Source organism: Homo sapiens, chromosome X (genome assembly GCF_000001405.40).
Source record: "Homo sapiens chromosome X, GRCh38.p14 Primary Assembly".
Lineage (NCBI taxonomy): Eukaryota > Metazoa > Chordata > Mammalia > Primates > Hominidae > Homo > Homo sapiens.
In genome coordinates, this window is record NC_000023.11 from 46,653,409 (window position 1) to 46,670,373 (window position 16,965).

A 16,965-nucleotide genomic window follows, 5' to 3' on the forward strand; every position below is an offset into this window, starting at 1 on the left:
TAAAAAAAGTCTAGCTTTTTGGAAAGTAAATAATCCATTTAAGACAGAACAATAGCCTTGCTCAGCAATCCTCCATACGGACACTTGCTGAACAGTTAAACTCTGTGCAGCTGTTATCTAAGAATTCTTCCCTTCCTTCAAGTTCCCACAGACCCCACTACAGTGAGGGGAAGGGTGGTCCAAGAGTAGAAAAAACCTACCTGTAAATCCGCAGGCTTCTGCCAAGAGAAACGTGCTCCAGGACATGAGGAAGAACAGCGCCGTCTCCAGCAGGGGGAAGCAGTGCAGTTTGGTAAACTTAGTCACGTTGGCATTCTGTCAAGGACCCTGTCTCCAGGTACATGTATCAGGGCCACCAAGAACCATACTCCACTAGCCCAGGACCCCTCCCCAAAGGGCTAGCCTTTCCCTTCAACCTTTTTTTTTTTTTGGAGGCTCTAAAGCTGCTGGAGATTTCTTAAGTAATACAAATTAAGCTTTCCAGTGGAACACAAGTTTTGTAGGGGCTGGAGAGAGGAAGAAACAGGGAGACATTGTTTAATGGGTACAGAGCTTCTGTTTCGGATGATGAAAAAATTCTGAAAGTAGACAGGGAGATGGCTACATGACATTGTGAATGCGGAATTGTGCACGTAAAGATGGTTAAATGACAAATCTCGTTGGCTATATTTTACCACAATTTTAAAAAATTAATCATGTAGGCCAGGTGTGGTGACTCATGCCTGTAATCCTAGCACTTTGGGACCCGAGGCAGGTGGATCACCTGAGGTCAGGAGTTCAAAACTAGTTTGGCCAACATACTGAAACCCTGTCTCTACTAAAAATACAAAAATTAGCCGGGTGTGGTCACACGCATCTGTAATCCCAGCTATTCAGGAGGTTGAGAATCAATTGAACCCGGCAGGCAGAGGTTGCAGTGAGCCAAGATTGCACCACTGCACTCCAGCCTGGGTGACAGAGTGAGACTCCGTCAAAAAAAAAAATTATCATGTAATATACCAAAAGCCATTAAATTTAAATGGGTGACTTGTATGGTATATAAATTATATCTCAATAAGGCTGTTCTTTTAAAAATTCAGAATTCTAGAGAAACTGGCAACTAGTTTTCTGTGCTCCTTGAATGGCCATGGTTCTGAGAGGCATGGTCATGACGTCAGGCTGGCTTGTTGGGTTGGTTCCAGCAGGGCTGTGAAGACAAGGCCTGTGAGACCCTGACCCCTGTGCACCACCGAGGCCACCTGAGTCCACAACAGGTGCCTAAGGAAGGCACAGGAAAGAAAGAAATGCATAATTCTTGAGACAGCTACCAGGTGCTGGTGTCACCTTTCGGGACCAGAGATCCTTCTTGTAACAGTGCCATTCAACACACGGCCAGCATAGAAGCATCTCATGACAGATCTCACTGAGCAATATACGTCTCCAAGGCATCAAAAGGGCCCTTGTGAAGAAAGCAATTTAAATCTGCGCTATCCAATGTGGTAGCTGAACACTTACAATGTGGCTAGTCCAAATTGAGATGTGTTGTAAGAGCAACACACACACTGTATTTCTTTTTTTCTTTCTTTCTTTCTTTCTTTTTTTTTTTTTTTTTTTTGAGACGGCATTTCGCTCTGTCACCCAAGCTGGAGTGCAATGGCACGGCCTCGGCTCACTGCAATCTCCACCTCCCAGGTTCAAGTGATTCTCCTGCCTCAGCCTCCCGATTAGCAGGGATTACAGGTGCACACCACCACACCTGGCTAATTTTTGTATTTTTAGTAGAGACAGGGTTTCACGATGTTGGCCAAGCTGGTCTCAAACTCCTGACCTCAGGTGATCTGCCCACCCTGGCCTTCCAAAGTGCTGGGATTACAGGTGTGAGCCACCACGCCCAGCACACATACCATATTTCAAAGGCTTGGAACAAAGATTGAATGTATAAAATCTCATTAATTATTTTTATCATGATTGGGGGAAGAGCCAAGATGGCCGTATAGGAACAGCTCCGGTCTACAGCTCCCAGCGTGAGCAACGCAGAAGACGGGTGATTTCTGCATTTCCATCTGAGGTACCGGGTTCATCTCACTAGGGAGTGCCAGACATTGGGTGCAGGTCAGTGGGTGCGCGCACCATGTGCGAGCCGAAGCAGGGCGAGGCACTGCCTCACTTGGGAAGCGCAAGGGGTCAGGGAGTTCCCTTTCCTAGTCAAAGAAAGGGGTGACAGACGGCACCTGGAAAATCGGGTCACTCCCACCCGAATACTGCGCTTTTCCGATGGGCTTAAAAAACAGCGCACCAGGAGATTATATCCCGCACATGGCTTGGAGGGACGTACACCCATGGAGTCTCGCTGATTGCTAGCACAGCAGTCTGAGATCAAACTGCAAGGCGGCAGCGAGGCTGGGGGAGGGGCGCCCGCCATTGCCCAGGCTTGTTTAGGTAAACAAAGCAGCCGGGAAGCTCGAACTGGGTGGAGCCCACCACAGCTCAAGGAGGCCTGCCTGCCTCTGTAGGCTCCACCTCTGCGGGCAGGGCACAGACAAACAAAAAGACAGCAGTAACCTCCGCAGACTTAAATGTCCCTGTCTGACAGCTTTGAAGAGAGCAGTGGTTCTCCCAGCACGCAGCTGGAGATCTGAGAACGGGCAGACTGCCTCCTCAAGTGGGTCCCTGACCCCTGACCCCCGAGCAGCCTAACTGGGAGGCACCCCCCAGCAGGGGCAGACTGACACCTCACACGGCCGGTTACTCCAACAGACCTGCAGCTGAGGGTCCTGTCTGTTAGAAGGAAAACTAACAAACAGAAAGGACATCCACACCAAAAACCCATCTGTACATCACCATCATCAAAGACCAAAAGTAGATAAAACCACAAAGATGGGGAAAAAACAGAGCAGAAAAACTGGAAACTCTAAAAAGCAGAGCGCCTCTCCTCCTCCAAAGGAACGCAGCTCCTCACCAGCAATGGAACAAAGCTGGACAGAGAATGACTTTGATGAGCTGAGAGAAGAAGGCTTCAGACGATCAAATTACTCTGAGCTACGGGAGGACATTCAAACCAAAGGCAAAGAAGTTGAAAACTTTGAAAAAAATTTAGAAGAATGTATAACTAGAATAACCAATACAGAGAAGTGCTTAAAGGAACTGATGGAGCTGAAAACCAAGGCTTGAGAACTACGTGAAGAATGCAGAAGCCTCAGGAGCTGATGCGATCAACTGGAAGAAAGGGTATCAGTGATGGAAGATGAAATGAATGAAATGAAGCGAGAAAGGAAGTTTAGAGAAAAAAGAATAAAAAGAAATGAGCAAAGCCTCCAAGAAATATGGGATTATGTGAAAAGACCAAATCTACATCTGATTGGTGTACCTGAAAGTGACAGGGAGAATGGAACCAAGTTGGAAAACACTCTGCAGGATATTATCCAGGAGAACTTCCCCAATCTAGCAAGGCAGGCCAACATTCAGATTCAGGAAATACAGAGAACGCCACAAAGATACTCCTCGAGAAGAGCAACTCCAAGACACATAATTGTCAGATTCACCAAAGTTGAAATGAAGGAAAAAATGTTAAGGGCAGCCAGAGAGAAAGGTCGGGTTACCCTCAAAGGGAAGCCCATCAGACTAACAGCGGATCTCTCGGCAGAAACTCTACAAGCCAGAAGAGAGTGGGGGCCAATATTCAACATTCTTAAAGAAAAGAATTTTCAACCCAGAATTTCATATCCAGCCAAACTAAGCTTCATAAGTGAAGGGGAAATAAAATACTTTATAGACAAGCAAATGCTGAGAGATTTTGTCACCATCAGGCCTGCCCTAAAAGAGCTCCTGAAGGAAACACTAAACATAGAAAGGAACAACCGGTACCAGCCACTGCAAAATCATGCCAAAATGTAAAGACCATCGAGACTAGGAAGAAACTGCATCAACTAATGAGCAAAATAACCAGCTAACATCATAATGACAGGATCAAATTCACACATAACAATATTAACTTTAAATGTAAATGGACTAAATGCTCCAATTAGAAGACACAGACTGGCAAATTGGATAAAGAGTCAAGACCCATCAGTGTGCTGTATTCAGGAAACCCAACTCACGTGCAGAGACACACATAGGCTCAAAATAAAAGGATGGAGGAAGATCTACCAAGCAAATGGAAAACAAAAAAAGGCAGGGGTTGCAATCCTAGTCTCTGATAAAACAGACTTTAAACCAACAAAGATCAAAAGAGACAAAGAAGGCCATTACATAATGGTAAAGGGATCAATTCAACAAGAACAGCTAACTATCCTAAATATATATGCACCCAATACAGAAGCACCCAGATTCATAAAGCAAGTCCTGAGTGACCTACAAAGAGACTTAGACTCCCACACATTAATAATGGGAGACTTAACACCCCATTGTCAACATTAGACAGATCAATGAGACAGAAAGTCAACAAGGATACCCAGGAATTGAACTCAGCTCTGCACCAAGCGGACCTAATAGACATCTACAGAACTCTCCACCCCAAATCAACAGAATATACATTTTTTTCAGCACCACACCACACCTATTCCAAAATTGACCACATACTTGGAAGTAAAGCTCTCCTCAGCAAATGTAAAATAACAGAAATTATAACAAACTATCTCTCAGACCACAGTGCAATCAAACTAGAACTCAGGATTAAGAATCTCACTCAAAACCGCTCAACTACATGGAAACTGAACAACCTGCTCCTGAATGACTACTGGGTACATAACGAAATGAAGGCAGAAATAAAGATGTTCTTTGAAACCAATGAGAACAAAGACACAACATACCAGAATCTCTGGGACGCATTCAAAGCAGTGTGTAGAGGGAAATTTATAGCATTAAATGCCCACAAGAGAAAGCAGGAAAGATCCAAAATTGACACCCTAACATCACAATTAAAAGAACTAGAAAAGCAAGAGCAAACACATTCAAAAGCTAGCAGAAGGCAAGAAATAACTAAAATCAGAGCAGAACTGAAGGAAATAGAGACACAAAAAACCCTTCAAAAAATTAATGAATCCAGGAGCTAGTTTTTTGAAAGGATCAACAAAATTGATAAACCACTAGCAAGACTAATAAAGAAAAAAAGAGAGAAGAATCAAATAGACGCAATAAAAAATGATAAAGGGGATATCACCACCGATCCCACAGAAACACAAACTACCATCAGAGAATACTACAAACACCTCTACGCAAATAAACTAGAAAATCTAGAAGAAATGGATAAATTCCTCGACACATACACTCTCCCAGGACTAAACCAGGAAGAAGTTGAATCTCTGAATAGACCAATAACAGGATCTGAAATTGTGGCAATAATCAATAGCTTACCAATCAAAAAGAGTCCAGGACCAGATGGATTCACAGCCAAATTCTACCAGAGGTACAAGGAGGAACTGGTACCATTCCTTCTGAAACTATTCCAATCAATAGAAAAAGAGGGAATCCTCCCTAACTCATTTTATGAGGCCAGCATCATCCTGATACCAAAGCTGGGCAGAGACACAACCAAAAAAGAGAATTTTAGACCAATATCCTTGATGAACATTGATGCAAAAATCCTCAGCAAAATACTGGCAAACCGAATCCAGCAGCACATCAAAAAGCTTATCCACCATGATCAAGTGGGCTTCATCCCTGGGATGCAAGGCTGGTTCAATATACGCAAATCAATAAATGTAATCTAGCATATAAACAGAACCAAAGACAAAAACCACATGATTATCTCAATAGATGCAGAAAAGGCCTTTGACAAAACTCAACAACCTTCATGCTAAAAACTCTCAATAAATTAGGTATTGATGGGACGTATCTCAAAATAATAACAGCTATCTATGACAAACCCACAGGCAATATCATACTGAATGGGCAAAAACTGGAAGCATTCCCTTTGAAAACTGGCACAAGACAGGGATGCCCTCTCTCACCACTCCTATTCAACATAGTGTTGGAAGTTCTGGCCAGGGCAATTAGGCAGGAGAAGGAAATAAAGGGTATTCAATTAGGAAAAGAGGAAGTCAAATTGTCCCTGTTTGCAGATGACATGATTGTATATCTAGAAAACCCCATTGTCTCAGCCCAAAATCTCCTTAAGCTGATAAGCAACTTCAGCAAAGTCTCAGGATACAAAATCAATGTACAAAAATCACAAGCATTCTTATACACCAACAACAGACAAACAGAGAGCCAAATCATGAGTGAACTCCCATTCACAATTGCTTCAAAGAGAATAAAATACCTAGGAATCCAACTTACAAGGGACGTGAAGGACCTCTTCAAGGAGAACTACAAACCACTGCTCAAGGAAATAAAAGAGGATACAAACAAATGGAAGAACATTCCATGCTCATGGGTAGGAAGAATCAATATCGTGAAAATGGCCATACTGCCCAAGGTAATTTACAGATTCAATGCCATCCCCATCAAGCTACCAATGACTTTCTTCACAGAATTGGAAAAAACTACTTTAAAGTTCATACGGAACCAAAAAAGAGCCTGCATCGCCAAGTCAATCCTAAGCCAAACAAAGCTGGAGGCATCACGCTACCTGACTTCAAACTATACTACAAGGCTACAGTAACCAAAACAGCATGATACTGGTACCAAAACAGAGATATAGATCAATGGAACAGAACAGAGCCCTCAGAAATAATGCCGCATATCTACAACTATCTGATCTTTGACAAACCTGAGAAAAACAAGCAATGGGGAAAGGATTCCCTATTTAATAAATGGTGCTGGGAAAACTGCCTAGCCATATGTAGAAAGCTGAAACTGGATCCCTTCCTTACACCTTATACAAAAATTAATTCAAGATGGATTAAAGACTTAAATGTTAGACCTAAAACCATAAAAACCCTAGAAGAAAACCTAGGCATTACCATTCAGGACATAGGCATGGGTAAGTACTTCATGTCTAAAACACCAAAAGCAATGGCAACGAAAGCCAAAATTGACAAATGGGATCTAATTAAACTAAAGAGCTTCTGCACAGCAAAAGAAACTACCATCAGAGTGAACAGGCAACCTACAAAATGGGAGAAAATTTTCACAACCTACTCATCTGACAAAGGGCTAATAGCCAGAATCTACAATGAACTCAAACAAATTTACAAGAAAAAAACAAACAACCCCATCAAAAAGTGGGTGAAGGACATGAACAGACACTTCTCAAAAGAAGACTTTTATGCAGCCAAAAAACACATGAAAAAATGCTCATCATCACTGGCCATCAGAGAAATGCAAATCAAAACCACAATGAGATACCATCTCACACCAGTTAGAATGGCCATCATTAAAAAGTCAGGAAACAACAGGTGCTGGAGAGGATGCGGAGAAATAGGAACACTTTTACACTGTTGGTGGGACTGTAAACTAGTTCAACCATTGTGGAAGTCAGTGTGGCGATTCCTCAGGGATCTAGAACTAGAAATACCATTTGACCCAGCCATCCCATTATTGGGTATATACCCAAAGGACTATAAATCATGCTGCTATAAAGACACATGCACACGTATGTTTATTGCGGCATTATTCACAATAGCAAAGACTTGGAACCAACCCAAATGTCCAACAATGATAGACTGGATTAAGAAAATGTGGCACATATACACCATGGAATACTATGCAGCCATAAAAAAATGATGAGTTCATGTCCTTTGTAGGGACATGGATGAAACTGGAAATCATCATTCTCAGTAAACTATCGCAAGAACAAAAAACCAAACGCTGCATATTCTCACTCATAGGTGGGAATTGAACAATGAGAACACATGGACACAGGAAGGGGAACATCACACTCTGGGGACTGTTGTGGGGTGGGGGAAGGGGGGAGGGATAGCACTGGGAGATATACCTAATGCTAGATGACGAGTTAGTGGGTGCAGCGCACCAGCATGGCACATGTATACATATGTAACTAACCTGCACATTGTGCACATGTACCCTAAAACTTAAAGTATAATAATAATAAAAAAAAAGAAAAAAAAATTATTTTTATCATAATTTTGTTATTTTTTTCCATATTGATTACATGTTGGAATGATGTGGTTTAAATTACATAGTAATGCCCACCAAAGAGGATATGATGCAGGACTCACCACATCTGTGGAAGGGATGCCTGCTCTTTCCACACTGTTTTTTTAGTTTGTTTAAACTGAATACTGGGCCATCCTTTGCTTACGGAAGGCCACTAACTAGCTATCGCCACATAACACCATGTGGCCGGGAACAGCAGTTGGCAGCAGCTAGCTGGGGCTAAAGTACTTCCCAGCCAGTAGTCCCTAATTCTCAGTCTCCTCCTGCCTCCTCAGCTCTTTTCACCCCTCTAAAACTGATGCTCCAACTGGATCACAAGAAAGGGAGAGAAACAGCAAAGGTGAAGACAGAGCGAAGTCTAGGGTTGCATTCCTAAACATTTTCTCAGACTCTCAGCTAGGGACCCAACCGTCATGCTTCACCAAAGTGACATATTTCAGGAGCCATCATGCCCCAGTGGAACACTCAATGTAAAATTCCAATTTGAAAGAACAGCTGAGAACTTTCTTTTTGAAAGTGTAATGCCACACACGCATACCCAGGCCCGAGCTGAAACTACAAAAAGGATATTAGAGCAGTCACAACACCAGTCACAGCTCCCATGGTAAAAGAGCCACTAAATATACCTAGAAAAATGCCAACTGACTTAAAAAAGGCAGCAGCATCAAAGGCGTGAGTGTTCAGTCCCGCTGGCTGGTAGGCAACAATAGACCTAAAGTTTAAAAACAAGAGACAGTTTTAAAAGACTGCACAGGTTTTACACTATGGTACTTGAAAATATCGACAAACATAGGTCTATCTACATTTTGTCAAGCATTGGCCAGGGTAAATTCATTTAATTTAATCTGCAGCCAGCATTGCCCAGGGTAAATTCATTTAATTTAATCTGCAGCCACCATGTTACGCTGGTGTCAGCATTCTGATTGCTGCTGGGCACACAAAGCAACGTAATTTTATCCACAAAGCTGATAAATCTCATTTAGAAAAACACCCAATTCAATATGTAATACATTTAAGATAAGCCTCTGAATTTAGCCCAAAGCATAGAGGAAACTGGGGTGTCTCTTCTCCAGCAGAAACACTGCTACTTACGAGGACAGTACAATGGCAACAGCATCATTTAGGACGCTCTCTCCAAAAAGAAGTGCGTAAAGATCCACGTCTGCATGCAATTCATTAAATATCGCCAGCACAGTCACTGAAAAGTGAGCCGAAAGCACAGAAATTAGTTTTGGTTTCTGACCTTAAATCACTGATTACAGATTTATAGAGGCAATTCCTATCTTGGGTGGGACTGGGTGATTCAAGAGATAGCAAGGGAGTCAAAGATAGACTTATCTATCTGTGGCAGAAATGAAAACCGCAATCTTCCTTATCTGAAGGAGCTTTGATATGATGCTTGAGTCTAATGATATTGCACCAAAACACTATGCTTTCCACTGTGATCCCATCACACTTTGAAAGTATCTGTTACAGAACTTCAAAAAATAATGACAATCAATGTGATTTGGCTTCACCAGTGGGTTGAAATCTCTTTGATTTCTCTGGCTCAATAGAGCCAAGGTTAAAATAACAAAGTTATTATAAAAATGATTAATGAGATTTTGGTCGGGCATGGTGGCTCATGCTTGTAATTCCAGCACTTTGGGAGGCTGAGGCAGGTGGATCACCTGAGGTGAGGAGTTTGAGACCAGCCTGACCAACATGGTGAAACCCCGTCTCTACTAAAAATGCAAAATTAGCCAGGCATGGTGGCACACGCCTGTAATCCCAGCTACTTGAGAGGCTGAGGCAGGAGAATCACTTGAACCCAGGAGGCGGAGGTTGCAGTGAGCCAAGATCACGCCATTGCACTCCAGCCTGGGCAACAAGAGTGAAACTCTGTCTCAAAAACAGAAAGAAAAAAAAAAGGGCCAGGCGTGGTGGCTTACGCCTGTAATCCCAGCACTTTGGGAGGCCGAGGCGGGTGGATCACCTGAGGTCAGGAGTTCGACACAAGCCTGACCAACACAGTGAAGCCCCGTCTCTACTAAAAATACAAAATTAGCTGGTCATGGTAGCATATGCCTGTAATCCCAGCTACTTGGGAGGCTGAGGCAGGAGAATCACTTGAACCCAGGAGGCAGAGGTTGCAGTGAGCCAAGATCGTGCCATTGCACTCCAGCCTGGGCAACAAGAGTGAAACTCCATCTCAAAAAAAAAAAAAAAAAAAAGGAAAGAAAGAAAAAAAAAGGGCCAGGTGCGGTGGCTCACGCCTGTAATCCCAGCACTTTGGGAGGCTGAGGCGGGTAGATCCCTGAGGTTGGGAGTTCGAGACCAGCCAGACCAACATGGAGAAACTCCATCTCTACTAAAAATACAAAATTAGCCGGGTGTGGTGGCAGGCGCCTGTAATCCCAGCTACTCCAGAGGCTGAGGTGGGAGAATTGCTTGAGCCTGGGAGGCAAAGGTTGCGGTGAGCCGAGATTGCGCCATTGCACTCCAGCCTGGGCAACAAGAGTGAAACTCTGTCTCAAAAAAAAGATTAATTAGATTTTATAAATTCCATCTTTGTGCCAAGCCTTTGAAACATGGTGTGTGTGTTGCTTAAAATAATAATGACGGGGGTGGGGGCAGGGGCAATATCGCCCCTGACTGAGAACCACCGATCTAGATACATGCACGAGAGCTGTGTTCTCTCTCAACACTCATACCCAACTACCCTCTCTCTTGATGGTTTCTACCATACAACTGCAAAAACTAAAAACCCACTTTCCCAGCTTCCCTTGCAGAAAGCATTACCTCTTCCTGTCAGGAAGAGGGCAGAGAGGCCAGACACCAACGCAGTCATCTTGCCTCCATGGGGCAACTGATGTGTGACTGAAACCCCAGAACAGTGGAGCAGAAAGACTGAGTGTAGTATTTTTTATGATTGTAGTGGAAGCCGGGACATCAGCCCAGTACTGGTACCCAAGATAAATATCTATTTGTTTAAGCAGGGATTAGCCAGGTTTTTCTGTTCTTTGCAGCCAAAAGCATTACTAATTGATACAATTAGAAAACCAAGCCAAACAAATGTTCAGTTTAGTGAGTTATTATAAGCCAACCAGTCTTGTAACCACACCCCTGTTCAAGAAATAGAACTTTGTCAGTCCCCTATATGTCCCATCCCAGTCTGAAGCCTCTTCCTTCACTAAAGGGAACCGCTAAACTAAATTTTATAGTCATCATTTTCTTGCCTTTCCCTATAATTTAATCACACAAATGCACATTCCCTGACACTATCATTTGGTTTTGCCCATTTTTTAAAAATTTTATTTTTATTTTTATTTCTATATATTTTTTGAGACAGGGTCTTGCTCTGTTGCCCAGGCTGGGGTACAGTGGTGTGATTATAGTTCACTATAGCCTGGAACTCCTGGGCTTAAGCAATTCCCCCCATCTCAGCCTCCCAAGTAGATGGGACCACAGAAGCATACCACACCTGGCCTAAAAGCATAATTAATAATAATAACAATAAACACGTACATAGCACTGATCTGTTTCAACTTCTCATTCTCCCTGCTCATTATCTCACAAAACAGGTCAGGAACCGTTCTGTGCCCCTCCTGAGCAAGTCTGTGCCTGACCACGGGGGTGGGATGTGGGTGCTGACAACTGGAAGACGATGGGATGGGGATGACAGACTGGCTAAGTGGTCTTTAATGGGAGAGATGAAACAAACTGCCCTCCTCCCTACAGCAGGACCCTTGAAATCAGGGTGAGCAGGGTCACAGCTATTTCCAACTGAACACAGACTGAGAAATCACAATTAACTAACTAAAGATCACTGGGTACAGGCAGTGGGAAAAACAAAAGAATGGCAGATATATGAAGAAGGAAAAACTCAAGGACCTAAATGTGTTCATTCAACTAACTTTTCTTGGACACATCATCCATGTAGTCAAGGGCACTTAGCACTTGTGAGCACTCAGTACAAAGTGGCAAGCACTGACATGTACAAAACAGACCTAACTCAAAGAGCTGAGGGAGCAGATAATGGAGTCTAGAAAGAGTGACTAGGCAGGTGGCACATTTGAACCAAGTCCCAAAGGATGCACTCCAGCCTGGGCGACAGAGTAAGACTCCATCTCAAAAAAAAAAAAAAAAAAAAAAGAAATTGTTAAGATAGTAAATTTTATGTCAGGCATTTTTACCACAATAAAAAATTAATAATAAAAAAGGAAATTGCATGCCCTTCCTGTGAACCATCATGATGTCATTTCCCCAATTTTAATTCATCACCTTTGTACTCCTTGAGTCAATCAGCCTGACTCACAGGTTTCTATTTTTCTTTTCTTTTTAGACAGGGTCTCTGTCGCCTAGGCTGGAGTGCAGTGGCATGTGTTCTCTGGTGGCTGCCTAGGAAGGCACCATGGGGTGCAAATGCATTTTTTTTTCTTTAATTGTGGATCCGTCTAAAACAAAAGCCCACAAAGATGGCACATGGCAGCCATGACACATGACCACAGAGTGGAGAAGGCTCCCTGTCACAGTGCAGCCTACACTATCCCACATATATTATGTCACCTTTGACCAGAAGACCAAAGACTCATGTCTCAAGCCAAGTACAGTAATCAGGGACAAGGATTCTTATTCCTTCATATCAGTCAATACCACTCTGTATCCTAACACTATAAAGTTTTTTGTTTCATTTTTTAAAGACAGGGTCTTGCTCTGTCATCCAGGCTGGAGTGCAGTGGTGCTATCACAGCTCACTGCAGCCTCAAACTCCTGGGCTCAAGCAATCGTCTTGCCTCAGCCCCCCGAGTAGCTGGAACTATAGGCAATCACCACTATGGTCAGCTAATTTTTACAATTTTTTTGTGGGGATGAAGTTCTACTATGTTGCCCAGGCTGCCAATATCAGAATTTTTGTTTGATGCACCAGGTACTAGAAGTCAATCTGGTCTTGTGATGCTTAACTCTGCACTTAAGATTTTATCTCTTTTATGACCCAAGTTTTCAAACAACAGATTTTTTAGGAGGCTGGTAAAACACTTCTAATTTACAAAAACATTCTACATTTCAGGAATATTTCTATTTAAAAAGCAGTTAAAGTTAATGTCCTGATGCTTAATAAGTTTAAACTTTCAATTTTCTACAACTTCCATTTCTATAAAGCCCTTACTGTGCCAGTCTTCATAGGCCAAATGAAAATGGAGTAGCATGGTAATGCCTTCCATTATTCTCTACCATAGCATAGACACATTAAAGGGAAGTAAACAATTACAAAGATAATCTAGAAAAGTAAGCCTCTCTATCCAATTAAATGAAGTAACACTGATAGCTCAGGAAACAATATCAATAATCTTTATGTTAAACTAACTTCCCTTTACTTGTTAGTGGTACTAGTAAGATGTCAGTAATAAAATTATAGATGAGTATACTTAGAAACACATTTTCGGACAGACTAAATACCTTTCTCAGACTTATGAAGATCTATTTCTCCACAGACACACATCTGGAGACAGTCACAGACAGCACAGGATTAAAATAATAAAGCTGATTTTCAGAGTTCTCTTTGGAAACATGCTTGGCTTCAGAGATGATCTGTTATTTGTTTATTTTTTAAACATAAGGAAAACTGAGAAATCTCTGCCTGAGTCAGATGTGGACACAGACCAGCATAATTTAGACAGGGTACACTCAGTGCCTTACACGTGTTGTTTCATTTCATCTTCACAATAGCCTTAGGAGATAGGTGCCATCATTTCTACTTTATATATGAGGAAACTGATGTGAGGGGACAATGTGTGCCCAGGCCACCCGATCAGTGATTGGTAGGGCTAGAACTAAACCCAAGGCCTGTGACTCCAAATCCCACCTTTTCACAAACCAGAGTGCCTCGACAGCCAAGTCTTCAATACTAATTTACTCAGGGTGTTTGTAATAAAATATGAGGGTAAGAGAGGTCAATGTTTTTTTTTTTGAACATTGAGATTCTTCAGAACCACACAACTGTCTAGAGCTATGCTGTTTGATGTGGTAACCATTAGCCACATGTGGCTATATACATTTAAATTACTTAACATTAAATAAAAGTTAAAATCAGTCCCCCTATTGCATTACCCTACATTTCAAGTGCTCAAAAGCCACATGTGGCTACTGGTTACCACAATGGACTTGCAGATTATAGAACATCTCTATCTTCACAGAAAGATAGCACTGATGGAGAGGACCCCCAAGGGGCATGGTCAAGTGGGGTATCTTAATATCTTTAAGGTTATTACTGTTCAGAATATTAGAGGGCATTGGAGACATTGAGCAGACCTTTCTATCTCTACCGTGAGGACAGGAGCAGCTCATTCTCCAGAACTTCTTTCCCTAAGGTGTACTCTCAATAGATGACACTAAGGAAGAGAATAGCTGTAACTACTTTATGCAAACTGATCAAATTATAGGTTTCAACTTGGAAAGGAGAACTTTTTTGTTTGTTTTGAGCTGCAAGGGAGGGTGTAATAATTCACTTGTAAGAATTGGTTCAACCAACACTTGAAAAATACAAGGCAAGGGATTGATGAATAGAAAACCATGTCACAGTGCACAGTCCTGCAGGAATGCCGCACAAAAGGAGTTTACAAATTAAATTACATTCACTACAGATAATCATGTGTGTTTCTACTAAGAAAAGGTATTATTTAACCCAAATGCTATGTTACATAAAAGAAGGCAAAAGGGCAACACTGGGAAAGAAGAAAATCTAAGTGTAAAACTTATGACCAAATTAGTCATTCTAAGACGAAAGGCAAAACATGTTATACAGCCGGGCACGGTGGCTCACGCCTGTAATTCCAGCACTTTGGGAGGCCGAGGTGGGCGGATCACCTGAGGTTGGGAGTTTGAGACCAGACTGACCAACATGGAGAAACCCTGTCTCTACTAAAAATACAAAAAAATTAGCCGGGCATGGTGGTGCATGCCTATAATCCCAGGTACTCCGGAGGCTGAGGCAGAGGAGGCAGAGGCGGAGGCAGAGGTTACGGTGAGCCAAGATTGTGCCATTGCACTCCAGCCTGGGCAACAAGAGTGAAACTCCATCTCAAAAACAAAACAAAACAAAAAAAAAACATGCTATACAGATACAATGGAATATTATTCAGCCTTAAAGGTTAGGAAATTATGAGAAATGCTATAAAATGGATGAACTTTGAGGACATTATGCTAAGTGAAATAAGCCAGTCACAAAAGGACAAATACTGTATGATTTCATTTGTATGAAGTATCTACAGTAGTCAAGTTCATAGAGACAGAAAGTCAAAGGTAGCTGCCAGGGGCTGCAGGGAAGGGGGACTGGGAAGTTGTTGTTTAATGGGTATAGCATTTCAATTTTGCAAGATGAAAAGGTTCTGGGGATTGGTTTCACAATGATGTGGGTATACTTAACTCTACTGAACTATACACTTAGAAATTGTTAAGATAGGCTGGGCACGGTGGCTCACACCTGTAATCCCAGCACTTTGGGAGGCCAAGGCGGGTGGATCACGAAGTCAGGAGATCGAGACCATCCTGGCTAACACGGTGAAACCCTGTCTCTACTAAAAATACAAAAAAATTAGCCAGGCGTGGTGGCAGGCGCCTGTAGTCCCAGCTACTCAGGACGCTGAGGCAGGAGAATGGCGTGAACATGGGAGGTAGAGTCTGCAGTGAGCCGAGATCGTGTCACTGCACTCCAGCCTGGACAACAGAGCAAGACTCTGTCTCAAAAAAAAAAAAAAAGGAATTGTTAAGATAGTAAATTTTATGTCAGGCATTTTTACAACAATAAAAAAAAATTAATAATAAAAAAGGAAATTGCATGCCCTTCTTAGAAAAGCCATCTAACTGTAGTCCCGCTGCTTGGGAGGCTGAGGCAGGAGGATTGCTTGAGCCCAGGAGGTCAAGGCTGCAGTGAGCTGTGACTGCACCACTGCACTCTAGCTTGGGCAACAGAGTGAGATCCTGTCTCAAAAAAGGAAAAAGGAAAAGAAAAGCCATCTAAGTCTGTTAGACCCACCTATTGGTCACTTCTTCCACCACCATGCCATGCAAATAAATACTACATTCTCCCTACTGCAACAAAAGTTAATGATTGCTCTGAACTTTTAAAGATTTAAATAATGGAATATCATAATAATAAAGACAAATACACAAAGCCAAATACCTGGGTCAGTGGCAGAGATGATTGCTCCAAAAAAGAGACAATCTGTGTAGTAAAATTTATCTGAGAGCTGTCCCATAATCTTCATGAGCTTCACCACACCATACATGAGATTTCTGTAAGAAGGTAAGGTAAACTATGTCAGGAGAAAAAAATAAGTAACTTAGCAAACACGCAAGCAGAATAGCACTAGAATGCTGCTCTTAGAGATTTATGAAAACAACAGGCAGCTGCCATGGTTTCACACTTACCAGAGACATTGCCAGCAGGACTTTGGCATCAAGTAATAGTTTGCAGTTAATGTCATCTTGCTGAAATATCTGAACATTTCATTTTTAAAAGTTGTACTGGCTAACAACTAAAGCAACCATGAAGCACAGTCTTCAATTAGCAACAAAGCTAAGGCATTTGACGCAACTGGGTAATACAGAGGAAAGGAAGAGACAGAACCTGGCATAATGTTTTTGTAGCAATAAGTTGCTACAAAACTCATAAGACTCTAAGATAATGCATTTAAAGTCAGAGAAATCAGTAGACTGGATGCAACTAGAGAGAAAAAAATGGGTTGGTCACAAAGATCCAAAGGATCTTGCCTTCTCTGCCAAGAATTATTTCAAAAAAAGGAAAAAGAGGCGAATATCTTTAAATGTCCTATTAGAACATCCATATACCCATCAAGATATCTGGGCTTTCACTCTTTGCATGGGTCAGGCAGGCCAGCAATAGCCCTCCTTATGCTATGTAGACTATGACGTGGGCTAAGAGGGACT

General features: G+C 42.2%; 1 protein-coding gene across 10 annotated transcripts in view; it reads right to left on the minus strand.

Annotated features, from left to right (window-relative positions):
- SLC9A7 (solute carrier family 9 member A7) overlaps positions 1-16,965 on the minus strand; it is a 159,868-nt gene that overhangs the window by 54,158 nt on the left and 88,745 nt on the right. For 9 of the 10 annotated variants that reach the window (XR_007068203.1, XM_017029905.2, XM_005272682.5 and 6 more), the window contains exons 5-8: positions 16,199-16,311; positions 9,130-9,235; positions 8,608-8,749; positions 201-306 (exon numbers count right to left, since the gene is read on the minus strand). Coding sequence is in view for 9 of the 10 variants with exons in the window: in XM_017029905.2 (XP_016885394.1) it covers positions 201-306; positions 8,608-8,749; positions 9,130-9,235; positions 16,199-16,311 (467 nt within the window). In the remaining variant the exon portion in view is untranslated. Of the gene's footprint in view, positions 1-200; positions 316-8,607; positions 8,750-9,129; positions 9,236-16,198; positions 16,312-16,965 lie in introns of all 10 variants that reach the window. The other variant, NM_032591.3, reaches the window with a different exon arrangement.